This window comes from Homo sapiens, chromosome 10 (genome assembly GCF_000001405.40).
Source record: "Homo sapiens chromosome 10, GRCh38.p14 Primary Assembly".
NCBI classification, from domain to species: Eukaryota; Metazoa; Chordata; class Mammalia; order Primates; family Hominidae; genus Homo; species Homo sapiens.
The window spans coordinates 7,741,399-7,756,142 of record NC_000010.11 but is presented as its reverse complement, the minus strand read 5'-3'; the positions used below and the strand labels follow the sequence as shown (position 1 = coordinate 7,756,142).

Here is a 14,744-nt window from a genome sequence, read left to right as displayed (position 1 = left end):
GGCCCTTTAAAAGGACGCAGAGTTGAAGGAATTCAATATGAAGACATTTCTAAACTTGCCTGAGTTTGAAAATTTGTTAACAATACATTAAAATCTTAAAGCATCAAATTGGTGTTCGCCAAGGCATTATGAGACTCTACTGTGTTAGGGTATATTCTTTTGTATAAAACAAACAGGTTTTTGAAAATATTACTGTATAGTTGTTCAGCTAAACTTTGAGAAGAATTTAATTATGTCTCATGAGGTATCAAACTATGTAATTTTGTCCTTGTTATTTTTGTTTCCTTTGTAATTTACTTGATGAGTTTATATCTTCATTAAAGAATGTTATTATAAAGTGTTTTATCTATGACAATTTAGAATCATGTAATTGGAGGAAATCCTTCATACACTCTATATTTTCAGTAGTAGAGTAGTAAAGTTGAACTCTAAGTGTGACTAAATTTTAAATGTCAAACTATAAATATAGAAGCAGCTTTATTGTGGTAATAATTCATATACCATACAGTTCACTCATTTAAAATATACATACAATTCAGTGGTTTTTAGTATTTTTGCAGAATTGTGCAGCCATCACCACTGTCTGATTTTAAAACACTTTCATACCCCAAAATGAAACCCTTTAATAGTCAATCGCTATTTTTCCCCTCTGCCCTAGCCCTAGACAGCCACTAATGTACTTTCTGTCTCTATGGATTTGCCCTTTCTGGACATTTCTTATAAATGGAATCATATAATATGTGATCTTTTATGACTGGCTTCTTACACTTAGCATCATGTTTTCAAGGTTTATCCATGCAGTAGCATGTAGGCGTGCTTCATTTGTTTTTATGGCTGCTTAATATTCCACTGTATGGATGTACCGTATTTTGTTTGTCCATTCATCAGCTGATAAACATTTAGATTGTTTCTACTTTTTGGCTATTGTGAATAATGCTGCCATGATCACCCATTTACAGGATTTTATGTGAACAGAAGCTTTCGCTTCTGCCAAACTCTTCCAGAGCAGCTATACCATTTTACAGTCCTACCAGCAATGTTGAACTATAGTTTTATTTGTTTTTAATTTTTTTACTTTTAGAGACATGGTCTCACTGTGTTGCCCAGGCTGCTGTCAAACTCCTGGGCTCAAGTGATCCTCCTGCCTCAGCCTCCCAAAGTGCTAGGATTGCAGGTGTGAGCCACAGCACCCTGCCTAACCATACAGTTTGAAATAAGTAGGGCAGTGTATTATTAGGGAATGCAAAAGACAGGAAACCCACATTTGCCTGTGCCAAAGGAAAAACGAAGGGATATTTGTAGTGCACATGACTGAAAGGAGCAGACGCTAGCTTCCAGGGCAGCGGGACCGGGTGTGAACAGCCTTCCCTGGGCTTCCGCTCTGTCTCTGGCTCCTGTGCTGGCTCTCTACATTTACATTCTTGAGCACTCTAGGTTTACATCTTACCCTTCAGCAGCACCGGGAAGAGAGAGATGATCTATCTTTTCTTTTTCTTTTTTTTTTTTTTTCTGACACAGAGTCTCACTCTGTCACCCAGGCTGATTGCAGTAGTGCAATCTCGGCTCACTGCAACCTCCACCTCCCGGGTTCAAGCCATTCTCCTGCCTCAGCCTCCTGAGTAGCTGGGACTACAGGCATGCGCCACCACGCCCAGCTAATTTTTGTAATTTTAGAAGAGATGAGGTTTCACCATGTTGGCCAGGATGGTCTCGATCTCTTGACCTTATGATCTGCCCGCCTCAGCCTCCCAAAGTGCTGGGATTACAGGCATGAGCCACTACGCCTCTTTTTTTTTGTTCTGTTTTTTGAGATAGGGTCTTGCTCTGTCATCCAGCCTGGAGTGCAGTGGCACAATCATGGCTCACTGCAGCCTCGTCCTCCTGGGCTTAGGTCATTGATTCTCCCACCTCAGCCTCCCGAGTAGCTGGGACTACAGGCATGCACTACCATGCCTGGCTAATTTTTTTGATTTTTAGTAGAGATGAGGTCTTGCTATGTTGCCCAGGCTGGTCTCAAACTCTTGAGCTCAAGCAATCCTCCTGCCTCGGCCTTCTAAAATGTTGTGATTACAGGTGTGAGCTACCACGCCTTGCCTGAGTTGATCTTCTACAAGAGTTCAAACAAAAAACAGACCATACCAGGATGATCACTTCAAACATGAGGATGGGTATAAGCTGACGTCAGACACAGGTATGGTGCCAAACCCTGGGATCTCTCTCTTTAACTGAGAGTCAGGGAGGGCTGATTGCTTCTATTCTCAGAAGATGGGAGAACGTATGCTGTTAGCAGAAATGTAAGAGGCAGTAAAGAAATACTAATAGGATGATGGCAGAAGCTTTACAGAAAATGTTCCTCAGGGATGAATTAAGGTTTTTCCAAAGTAACCTGACAGCACATTATGGAAAGCAACTGGGTTTTGGGTGTGGGCAGTCTTTAGATCAAATTCTGGCAGTTCTGTTCATTGGCTTTGTAATATTAGAATGTTAATGTTCTTGAATTGCAATGTTTTTAATGTATAAATTGTCAAAATGTTTTTCAGCAGGGTTGATGGGAGACCTACAGAAAATACATATAAATCATCAGACATGAAGTCCAGCACATAGTAGGTATTGAATAAATGGCAGTGAGTGGTCATGTCCAGAAATGAAGCCAAGAAGTTGAGCCTGGACTACTAAGAATCTGGTCTGAAGAATTTCAAAAAGGAGAATGGTTCTCCCTGATAACAAATAGTGATGAGTAAAACCAGACAAATTACATATGCCTCCCCCAAGTATGTACGTTTGGAATCAACTTGGTGGTTTTCTTCAGAGAAAAAATGTTTCATGTCTGCCTCCCACATTTAATTCTCCAACGTCTTTCTGAAATTATTTCAGAATGAAATGAGGCAGCATACTTGAGGTTAAATTCAATAAAAAATATCTGAAGCATAAAAATACGATTATAGACTTCACAGTAGTTTTTTCCCTCTGAGTCTGTAGAACTTGATAGAGTTTATGCTAAGCAAAATGACTGCAGATAACTAACAACAGGTCTCATATTAGACTTTGATTTTTGAAGTATCATAAGCTATTTTTCTTTATTTCAAACATAGACTTTACTTTTTAGAGCAGTCTCTGTGGGTTTTGACAAATGTATAATGACATGCATCTGCCACTGTAGTATCACACAGAACAGTTTCACTGCCCTAGAAGTTTCCTGTGTTCTGTCTGTTCCCTGTCTCCCCCCAAATCCCTGCTGACCGCTGATCTTTTTACTGTCTCCCTAGTTTTGTCTCCATCGAAGGTCATATAGTTGGAGTCACACAGGGTGTAGCTTTTTCAGATTGGCTTCTTTCACCTGGTAGAACATATGCATGTAAGGTTCCTCCATGTTGTTTTGGTTAGGTTTTTGTGGCTCGATAGCGCACTTCATTTTAGCACTGCATATTCTATTGTCTGAATGCACCACAGTTTATGCACTCACCTACTGAAGGATATCTTGGTTGCTTACAAGGTTTGGAAATTATGAGTAAAGCTGCTACAAACATCTGTGCGCAGGTTTTTTGTGGATAGACGTTTTCAACTTATTTACGTAACGACCAAAGAGCACAATTGCTGGATCATATGCCAGGAGTCTTCTGAGAAACTACCAACCTGTCTTCCAGAGTGACTGTACCATTTTGTATTCAAACGAGCAGTGAATGAGAGTTCCTGCTGCTCTGCATCTCCGTCAGCATTTGATGTTGTCAGTGTTCTGGATTTTGGCCATCTTAATAGCTGTACAGTGGGATCTTGTCATTGCTTTAATTTGCATTTCTTTGATGAAGTATGATGTGGAGCATCTTTTCATGGGCTTATTTGCCACCTGTATATCTTCTCTGGTGAGATGTCTTTCAGGTTTTTTGCCCATTATTTAATTGGGTTACTCATTTTCTTATTGTTGAATTTTAAGAGTTGTTTGTATATTTCAGTTGTGTTCTTTATCGAATGTGTCTTTTGCAAGTATTTTCTCTCAGTCAGTGGCCTGTCTTCTCATTTTGTTTTAAGCTATTCTTTTTTAACACCCCAAGATTTTCATCGTTACTTTTTTTTTTTTTTTTTTTTTTTTTTTTTTTTTTTTTTGAGACGGAGTCTCGCTCTGTCGCCCAGGCCGGACTGCGGACTGCAGTGGCGCAATCTCGGCTCACTGCAAGCTCCGCTTCCCGGGTTCACGCCATTCTCCTGCCTCAGCCTCCCGAGTAGCTGGGACTACAGGCGCCCGCCACCGCGCCCGGCTAATTTTTTGTATTTTTAGTACATCGTTACTTTTAAGACCACTGTGCACACATAAAATACTAAAAGCTAAACTTAATATCTGCAGGTAGAAGTTTTAAATTCAAGATTTTAACCAAATAACAGAGTTAATGCTAAAATCTCACTTTTGAAGTTTATGTTGAATATTAGCATTCTAATATTTAATATTTTTCTATTTTTGAAATAGGAAATGGAAAAGATGCAGTAGGTTTTTCAAAAGGGTATCATAGGTGAGCACTTCTTATAGAAGAAGAAAACTAAGAGGTAGTGCTATTTACCTCTTCAGCACTAAGTTTATCTTTATTTTTATTTATTTCTATAAAGAGATGGGAGTCTCACTGTGTTGCTTAGGCTGGTCTTGAACTCCTGGCCTCCAGTGATGCTCCTGCCTTGGCCTCCGAGAGTGCTGGGATTATAGGCATGAGGCACCACACCCAGCCAGTAATCTTTAGCTTCTAGAAACAATCAGATTTCCTTAAGATTTTGCAATTAGGTTTAGAGGAGCTCACTTGCTTTTTCAAATATGGGTTGGATATGTCCAAAAAAAGAGTTTTGCCTCTACAATGAAAAATGATTTTTACCAGATTATGGAAAGGAAGATTCATAAAAATGTGCCTTTAAAAAGCTTTTTTAAAGTGCAAGTTCACCAATTTGACTTTTGAAAATACGTTCATTTTAGGAATTGATTTTTTAAGGAAAGTTGTAAACACAGCAAAGCACAGAATTACACTGGTTCAGACTTGCATCTTAGCACCAAAATCCACTATACAAATGCAGACAGCATAAAGTAACCTAGTTTCGCTTTAAATTTGTTGCTTATTTTATTCTCCCTTATAAATGTCATTGGTCTTTTGTTAGAACATAATTTACTACTTTATTTTGAAATAAAGTCTAAGATTTAGCATGTAAGTGGTATTACTCAGAAATGGTTTAAATGCAAATGAAATAACAGTTCTACCAGGAGTACTAAAAAAGATGCTGTGTTCAAGGTATATTAAATTTGTGTGAAACTTGATTCACAGACACAGAGGGCTTCCAGAGAATTTGGAACTATGATTCAGAATTCATTTAGCAACATTAACAATGTGTATAATTAGCCATCTGAGGTAACATCCTGAGCGATTTTAAATATGTGCAGAATTTGGGAGCAACAAAAACTCCAAGTAGGGCTGGGCATGGTGGCTCACGCCTGTAATCCCAGCTACTTGGGAGGCTGAGGCAGGAGGATCGCTTGAACCCGGGAGGTGGAGGTTGCAGTGAGCCGAGATTGTGCCACTGTGCTCCAGCCTGGGCAACAAAGGGAGACCCCATCTCAAGAAAAAAAAAAAAGTAAAGCAAATCACCCTCCCTTGTGTGGGTGGGCCTCGTCTAATAGTCAAAGGCCTGAATAGAACAAAAATGCTGACTTCCCAAAGTCGGGGGATTCTCTAGTGTACGGCCTTCGAACTTCATCTGCAGCATCAGCTCTTCCTGCCTGATGGCTTTTGAGCTGGAACACTGGCTCCTCCCTAGTTCTCCTGTACCATCAGCCTACTCTGCAGATTTTGGATTTACAAGCCTCCATAATCACATGAGCCAATCCTTATTGTAAATCTCCTATGGGTTCTGTTTTCCTGGAGAACTATGGCTAATCCAGGCCTCATAAACTCAAAAGGGACCCAGGGACCAACACTATGAAGAGAATCTTGGCTAAAAATACTGGGCTATCACAGGCACCATAGCAAGGCTATCCTTGCTTTAGTATAAATCTCTACAGAGGGTAACAGGGCTTTAGTATAAATCTCTACGAAGCACCTAAGATCAAGTAACCCCCATTTCTTGTTCTATGCTCACCATATAACCCTCTCATAATTGTACTTCCCATGTAACTAGCAGTGTAAAAATGGACGCGATCTGCAAGGTTGAGGACCTGAGACTCAACAGCAGTGAAATGATCAGCTGGGCATGGTGGCTCACACCTGTAATCCCAGCACTTTGGACGGCTGAGGCGGGAGAATCACTTGAGCCCAGGAGTTTGAGACCAGCCTGGGCACCATAGTGAGACCTCATCTCTGCAAAAAACAAAAATTAGCCAGGCATAGTGACATGCGACTGTAGTCCCAGCTGCTAGGGAGGTTGAAGTGGGTGGATTGCTTGTGCCCAGCTTGAGGCTGAAGTGAGCCATGATCACGCCACTGCACTCCAACCTGGGCAACAGAGCGAGACCCTGTCTCAAAAAAAAGAAAGAAAAGATATTAATAAATGATCACAGTAAACACCAAATTTAAGGCTCTTCCAGACGCTGGCTTGTCTCGGCACCACCTTGATCCACACACTTCGGCATCTAAAAATGCAACAAAATCCTAAAAGCTCATTTGTAAAATGTTTATTTTCTTAGGTGTGTTTACAGGCTTTATAAACCACCCTGATATCTGGTTCATTTTAATTAACCACCCTGATATCTGGTTCATTTTAATTATTCAAACCGAAGAATATCTGCAAAAGTGACAGGGGAAAGATGTATATTAATATATATAATTTCCCAAACTATAAACCTTTAAGGCCGTTTGAGAAAGCTGTAGAGCTGAGGCACGAAGTAATCCTTGTAATGCCCGTCAATGAATCCTTTTCCACTGTTGTGCACAAACCAGCAGGTAACGTCCGTTCCAAACACTAGATCCGTTCTGTAGTCTTTCTGTAAGCCCCTGCAAGGAAGCAAGGCATGTGGTTAGGGGGAGACTGAGCACCTCTAGACACAAGACTCCCTCTTTTCCTTGCTGTTCTTCGTGTTCCTTCTGTCACCACATCTGCCGCCCCCCACCTATCGCTGCTCCCCAAGTCATGTGAAAAAGAAACACCAAGTCTGGGGCTTGGTGTTGGAAGCACAGAGAATCAGCGAAGCGTCCTTGGAGAACTCAAAGAACCCTTAGAGTTGACCTATATGGGCTTTTCCAGCGAGGGAAACAGTAGCCAATGGAAAGAAGGCAGGAACAAGACTCCACAGTGTTGAGGCTGACCTCACAGGTCACTTAAAGAATGAGTCAGCAGCCAGGCATGGTGGCTCACGCCTGTAATCTCAGCGCTTTGGGAGGCTGAGGTGGGCGGACCACTTGAGGCCAGGAGTTCAAGACCAGCCTGGCCAACATGGTGAAACCCTGTCTCTACTAAAAATTAAAAGAAAAATTACCTGGGCATGGTGGTGTACGCCTGTAGTCCCAGCTACTTGGGAGGCTGAGGCAAGAGAATTGCTTGAACCCAGGAGGTGGAGGTTGCAGTGAGCCCAAGATACGTCACTGCACTCCAGCCTGGGCGACAGAGCAAGACTCTGTCACTAAAAAAAAAAAAAAAAAAAAAAAAAAAAAAAAAAAAAGAATGCATTGGCGGCACCTCTTAACTGCACTTTCTCTGTGTTTAAGAGTGATACCTGCTGTTTCTGAGCAGATTCATGTCCTCCACTTGAAGGGCAAAGTAGCCAACAATTTGTTAAGGATCTCGTTCACACTGCGTGAACGAGACTTAAAAGTATCACTGTGCCCAGCCCACGGGACAGCTCAGTTTCAGTTATGAACCATGAGGTGCTTGCAGTGGACCAAATCGAGGCCCAGCATTTACTTTTTGTCATTATAGTAAATATATATATATATGTATACATATATTTATTTATATATGTATATATAAATATATATACATATTTTATGAGATGGAGTCAGGCTGGAGTGCAGTGGTGCTATCTCTGCTCACTGCAACCTCTGCCTTCCGGGTTCAAGTGATTATCCTACCTCAGCCTCCCGAGTAGCTGGGAATACAGGCGCCCGCCACCACACCCGGCTAATTTTTGTATTTTTAGTAGAGATGGGGGGGGTTTCAACATGTTGGCAAGTTGGTCTTGAACTCCTGACCTCAGGTTATCCACCCACCCAGGCCTTGCAAAGTGCTGGGATTACAGGCGTGAGCCACTGCGCCTGGCCTATTTATATATTATGTATTTATTTATGAGACAGGTCTCTCTCTGTTACCCAAGCTGGAGTGCAGAGGCACAATCATAAGTCACTTCATCCTCGAACTCCTGGGTTCAACGGATCCTCCCACCTCAGCCTCCTGAGTAGCTGGGGCTATAGGCAGAATCTACTACACCTGGATAATTATTTTTATATTTATTTTTATTTTTGTAGAGATGGAGTCTTACTATGTTGCCCAGGCTGGTCTTGAACTCCTGGTCTCAGGTGATCCTCCCACATTGGCCTCTCAAAGCATTGGGATTACAGGCATGAGCCACCATGCCTGGCAGTAAATGCCCTTCTACCAACTTCAGATAACTTACTATTAACATTAATAATTTGTGCTCACCATTGCTTCTGTGACACATGCTCACTGATTCCCGTCGGTACCTCATTCCTCCCATAAACTGATACTAATTGAATGGCATATTCACTAAGAATCCATTGTTTCAGTTCACAAATCTACTTTCGTGGCAATACTTCCGACTACAATTTTATGTTACAATGTTATGGTTTAATTAAGTATGTCAAAGCCAATGACATTTGTGGGCGTGAAGAATCCTTTCTAATAAAGCAAAGTTGGCTGCTTTGTAAAAACTCTAAAAAGGGGTAAGCTGCTTTAAAACGGTATCAAATTTGGCATGGGTGAGACAACTGTAAAGGACTGGGAAAAAATATCAAGATTTGTAAGACTTTTACACTCAGAATGCGTTATGAGCGTCTAAGTTCTCACTTCAGATGAAGCATATGGGGGTGGTTTGTGTAAGAAAAGCTACAAAAAAAGCAGTCAGAGATCCCTGTGCAAAAGGAAAACTCTAGCCTGATGTAAAAATCTACATTCATTCTGCAGCACTATGGTAATAGGTGTTTTATGATTCTCTCCTTTGATCAACGTGTCTGGTTATCCAACTTGTGAAGCTCTTGTGAGGGCTTCTAAAGTATGAAGATGAGAACAACAGGTTAGTTAATCTTGGCATTGCATGACCCTAGATACCCAGTCATTATTTGCATTTAACGTGGGATATCAGAAGTGTCCTTATGCGAATGCTGTGTGCGTCTATTCCTAATGAACTGCTTAGTGTGATGTAGGTAGTGCCTACGACACTTCTTCTTTGCTCCTCTATTTTGCTGTGTGGGTCTAATTCTAACACAAGGCCTTTTCGTCACTGTCCTTACGCCCGAGGCCTACCTGGTGATGATCAGCTTCTGCCCCTTCACTTCCATGCTGGCCTCTGGCTTCTCAGGGTCCTTTCCTGGTCTCTCATTGAAGATGTGTATCTTTGGTTCCTGCATGAACTGGCCTAGCAAAACAGAATCAGACATTGATTGACATGTAATCATAGTTAAATAAAAAGAGGCTCATTATTGACTCCATGCTACCTTTCGGTCCTCCCTCCAGGATTTCTAGGGTGGAAAGACAAGCTGAGAGGAAAAAGGAGTGGTGATGGGAGGGAGGGTCCTTCCTGGGAGCACATTTGTGCTGCTCACCATCTTTTTTTTATTTTTATTTTTTTAATTTGAGGCAGGATCTCCCTCTGTTGCCCAGGCTGGAGTGCAGTGGTGCTATCTCGGCTCACTGCAACCTCCACCTCCTGGGCTCAAGTGTTCTTCCCACCTCAGCCTCCCAAGTAGCTGGGACCACAGGCGTGAGCCACTACGCCTGGCTAATTTTTTGTAGAGACAGGGTTTCACCGTGTTGCACAGGTTGATCTTGAACTCCTGGACTCAAGCGATCCACCCACCTCAGCCTCCCAAAGTGCTGGGATTACAGGTGTGAGCCACTACTCACAGCCTTTTTTTTTTTTTTTTTTTTTTTTTTTTTTTTAAATTTAAGATTTGGGGCCGGGTGTGGTGGCTCACACCTGTAATCCCAGCACTTTGGGAGGCCGAGGTGGGCAGATCACCTGAGGTTGGGAGTTTGAGACCAGCCTGACCAACATGGAGAAACCCCATCTCTACTAAAAATACAAAATTAGCTGGGCGTGGTGGTGCATGCCTGTAATCCCAGCTACTCGGGAGGCTGAGGGAAGAGAATCGCATGAACCGGGGAGGCAGCGGTTGCGGTGAGCCGAGATTGCGCCACTGCGCTCCAGCCTGGGCAACAAGAGAGAAACTCCATCTCATAAATTAATGAATTAATTAATTTAAGAGATGGAGTCTCCCTCTGTCACCCAGGCTGGAGCACAGTGGCACAGTCATAGCTCACTGCAGCCTCCAATTCCGGGGCTCAAGAGATCCCACCTCAGCTTCCTGAGTAGCTGGGACTCCAGGCAGGCTCCACCATACCCTGCTAATTATTTTTATTTTCTAATTTTTTGGTAGAGATGGGGTGCCCAGGCTGCCCTTGAACTCCACAAGCAAATCCACCTGCCCAGGCCTCCTAAAGTGCTGGGATTACAGGCACGAGCCACCATGCCTGGAGCTCATGGTCATTTTATACATGAGGTTGGTCTAGTGGATTGTAAGTAAATCGAGCACCCTGATGGCAGGAGAATGAGGTGAGCACCTGAGAGTATAGCTCAGATCACAGGAAAAAGTTTTGTTTGTGATGTCACAGGCTTTATATTTGAGCCCTTCTTAAAATACTAGGGACATTTGTCCAGAGTGTTCTGCTTGTTATCACAGACCTCCTAAATGGGTTCATCTTGCTTCAGTTAGAAAAAAATCTTTAACATAAAACTTAAAATGTATCTGTCCCTTCTCTTAACTTGCCCAGTTTGTGATGCTGAAATCCTGGCCCTGGACAACCTTGTCTGGAATGGCAAAAGGTCCTGGCTGTCACATTCCCGAGCGACCCCACACTGCTATGTTAGTCCTCTGTGCTCATGAGTCCACACCTGCCATGTCCTCAACTTGTAACCACTGTCAACCAAAGCTGCTAAAGAATTAGAGCGGCCCCACCCTTGTCAGATGGTCAATAGACACTTTACCTATTAGTCCGTGGGCTTTAGGTGAGAACTTGTTTGTAGGGGGTATGTAGATTCCCAGAAAGTCAACATTGACGGGATGCTTCTTCCAAACACGATGAAGTAAAACAGAAAAGGACATCTCTTTATCCAGGGTGATAGTTACCACTTTTTCTTTCTTCACTGAGATCTGCACCCTGGTGTGAAAGTCCAAGAGGAATTAAACCATTCCAGAACAGACCTTTTGAGAAAGTCATTCTTCTCACCCCTAATATGAACTCTTCACTCCTCCCAGACAATTCCGCTAGTTATCTAAGCGCTTGCAACAGTTTATAGATAAATGATGGATTAACAGAAACTCATTGGGAAGCTTCTACGCAGAGGACACAATCATGGCGTTTGGAGCTCACTCTGCGATAGAGTCAGTATGGATTTCAGCTGGTGGATTTGTTCACTGATTAGCACATACACAGTGAGTGTTTACTGATGCCAGGCACTGGACTAGGTCCTGGGACCCAACGGTGACCAAAAACACACAGTGCCCACTGCCAGGAACAGAGTAGGGAGTGAGAACAATTTTTCTGAACCTCAACTTCCTTATATTTAAAATGATGATTTTTTTTCAATGTTGATGTCACTGATGCCTGGATTTATTTATGCAGTCGTGTGTCACGGACAGGCCCAAGTTCAGATGGAATCATACTTGCCTCTGATTCGTGACTTGAGCCGTGTCGGACCAGGACAAGGAGAATGTGCTAGAACCATGGCTCAGGGTGATGGTCTCAGTGCTGATTTCTATTTTTATGTCTTCACTTTGGAAATAAAATCCCAGTTTTCCAAAATAGGTGCTTAGTTTTCCATTGTTGGGCTTCTTGGCACCAACAAGCTGACCGTTGACTACAATTCCTACAGGAAAGAAAAAAATGATGTTTTCTCTTCTGTGCCATTTATTTTGCATGTGTGGGTACTATAATTCAAATTTATAAAAACTTGGCAATATTGGAAAATTATTATAATTTTGCTTCAAGATTTACATTAACATTTTCTTCTTTGTGATTCTCATTTTATAACATGTTAATATAACATTTATAAATTTTAATAAAATTTAATTTAATAATTTTATATCAGTTATAAAATTTAATTGTCAGTTTATAAAATTTAAATAATTGACTATCATATAGTATTTAAATTTTTTGTTGTTGTTTTTGAGACGGAGTCTTACTCTGTCACTCAGGCTGGAGCGCAATGGTGTGATCTTGGCTCACTGCAACCTCCACCTCCCGGGTTCAAGCAATTCTCCTGCCTCAGCCTCCTGAGTAGCTGGGATTACAGGTGTGTACCACCACGCCTGGGTAATTGTTTTTGTATTTTTAGTAGTGGGGGGTGGGGTTTCATCATTTTGACCAGGCTGGTCTCGAACTCTTGACCTCAGATGATCCGCCCACCTCGGCCTCCCAAAGTGCTGGGATTGCATGTGTAAGCCACCGTTCCTGGCTCATATTTAAATTAATTATATCACAACAAGATCTGCAAGTTCATACTCAGAGTATATATTTTGAACTATAATGGTTCAAAATAGTTAAGAATATATTTATAATTTAATTTCTCACTAATATCACTGAAATATATAGAACTTCTATTAAGCTGAGAAAGAAAGAAATCCCAGGCAGTGACAGGAAAGCATGACAATGACCTAATTGGTGCAAATATAATTTATTTTTATTTTACCTGATTCTGGGTCAGAAACCAGGTTGAGGATTTTTCCAGGTTCTGAGTCAATATTGAAACAAATGTTCTTTTGGCTTTTTGGTAGATAAATGATGAAATGTGGGTCATTTTCAACTGGAAAATATACAAAGAAAACGTAAACAAAATCATTAAAAGGAAGATGATTTTGAGCACTATGTCATTCCTGAACATCTTTAATTTAATCAGAACAAATATTTATTGTGCTTCTCCTACATGCTCGGTACTCCTCCAGGTCTTGGGGACCCAGTGGTTCATACTCCATTGTCCCTTTGTCACGGAGCCTTCTTCAGAACCCTATGTTATTTTACAAATATAGTGGATATTTATTTTGTAGCTAAAAATGTATGCACTAGACTAGATACTAGAGATAAAAAATGAATAAGAAAGACTTAAGGAATAAGAAATACACACAAATATGCACCCACAAATATAAGAAACATACATACACGTGTGTGAATATGTGTGTAGACAGAAAAATAGAGTTGGGTGTTTTTTGAGACAGGATCTCCCTCTGTCACCCAGGCTGGAGTGCAATGTTGCAATCATGGCTCACTGCAGCCTTGACCTCCAAGGCTCAAGTCATCCTCCCAGCTCAGCCTCCTGAGTAGCTGGGGCAACATCCATGTGCCACCATGTCTAGCTAATGTTTTGTATTTTTTGTAGAGATGGGGGGTCTCACTTTGTTTCCCAGGCTAGTGTCAAACTCCTGAACTCAAGTGATCCACCCATCTCAGCCTCTCAAAGTCCTGGGATTAAAGGTGTGAGCCGCCTCACCCAGCCTGGAGATATATTTTTTAAGGAGCCATATACAATGCAGGAAAACAAAGGAGACACACTATTATTGTTGACATACAGATTAATATGATTCAATTCCAAAAGCAATGAAGAATCAAGCTACTCCCAAGAAAGTACTCCTTTGTTATTGAACCTAATTATTTTAGATAATCCTTCCTTGCTTCCCCTCCCCTCCCGCTCCCCCATCCCCACTCTCCCTCTCCCGCTCTTTCCCATTTAACCATTCAACAAATACTTGGTGAAGGAAAAAAAAAATCTATGTGCAATCACTAAATTTGGCAATGTTTGGTGTTAACTATAAACATAAGTCATGGTCAGTAACTTCAAGAAAGTAATACTTTAGTGCAAGGGGCAGACATAATCACGAATGTAAGATAGAATGAAGTACATGGTGCAATAGTGGCTCAAGTAAAATGCTGTGAGAATGAAGATGAAAATGATTAGTGCCCCCCAGGCAAACAGCAAGGCTGAATGGAGGAGGTGGCTTCTGAACTGTCTTTAAGGTCAGAGGACAGCGGGGAAAGACAAAAGGCTAAGGAGGAAGAGATTTTATTCTGAGTGTACAGAATGAGGAAGGAGTGGAGGTAGAAGAGTTTATGATTTCTTTAGAAAATAACTCAATGCGACCAGAGGACAGGTTCTTGAAGAATGCAGAGAAAAAGAGCTAAAAGTAGAGATCACAGAGACCCTGAAACACCAAGAATGGGCCTTTATTCTGTTGAGCAGCTATTAAAGGTTTCTGAGAATAAATGTGACTTGACCCTCATTTTAGGAAAGTTGTTGGTGGCAGTGTTACTAAAAGTTTGCAGAGGAGTTACAGGAAGCTTGTGCAGTGGCTAAAGCAGTCACTCAGGCCAGAAATGTTCAGTTCACACCTCCAGGTTCATGCTCTGCAGTCCACAAATACATGGTTAGTTGATTGTTCTTGGAGCCAGACACTACAGGGCATTGTAAAAACACAGAACAGGCCAGGTGCGGTGGCTCACGCCTGTAATCCCAGCACTTTGGGAGGCTGAGGCGGGTGGATCACGAGGTCAGGCATTCG

The 14,744-nt window shown here is 41.8% G+C and overlaps 2 protein-coding genes across 4 annotated transcripts in view; one reads left to right on the top strand and one right to left on the bottom strand.

Annotated features, from left to right (window-relative positions):
* Nucleotides 1-5,181, top strand: part of KIN (Kin17 DNA and RNA binding protein) — a 37,032-nt gene extending 31,851 nt beyond the window's left edge. Inside the window, exons 13-14 of one of the 3 annotated variants that reach the window (NR_045609.2) lie at nt 2,074-2,191; nt 2,544-5,181. Coding sequence is in view for 1 of the 3 variants with exons in the window: in NM_012311.4 (NP_036443.1) it covers nt 1-63 (63 nt within the window). In the remaining 2 variants the exon portion in view is untranslated. The other 2 variants (XR_930485.3, NM_012311.4) reach the window with 2 other exon arrangements.
* A 1,441-nt stretch (nt 5,182-6,622) lies between these two features.
* The window catches only part of ITIH2 (inter-alpha-trypsin inhibitor heavy chain 2), a 46,205-nt gene continuing 38,083 nt past the window's right edge, over nt 6,623-14,744 (bottom strand). The window contains exons 17-21 of the mRNA NM_002216.3: nt 12,884-12,997; nt 11,863-12,061; nt 11,180-11,352; nt 9,439-9,550; nt 6,623-6,956 (exon numbers count right to left, since the gene is read on the bottom strand). Coding sequence (NP_002207.2) covers nt 6,809-6,956; nt 9,439-9,550; nt 11,180-11,352; nt 11,863-12,061; nt 12,884-12,997 — 746 coding nt within the window. The 3' untranslated portion in view covers nt 6,623-6,808. The remainder of the gene's footprint in view (nt 6,957-9,438; nt 9,551-11,179; nt 11,353-11,862; nt 12,062-12,883; nt 12,998-14,744) is intronic.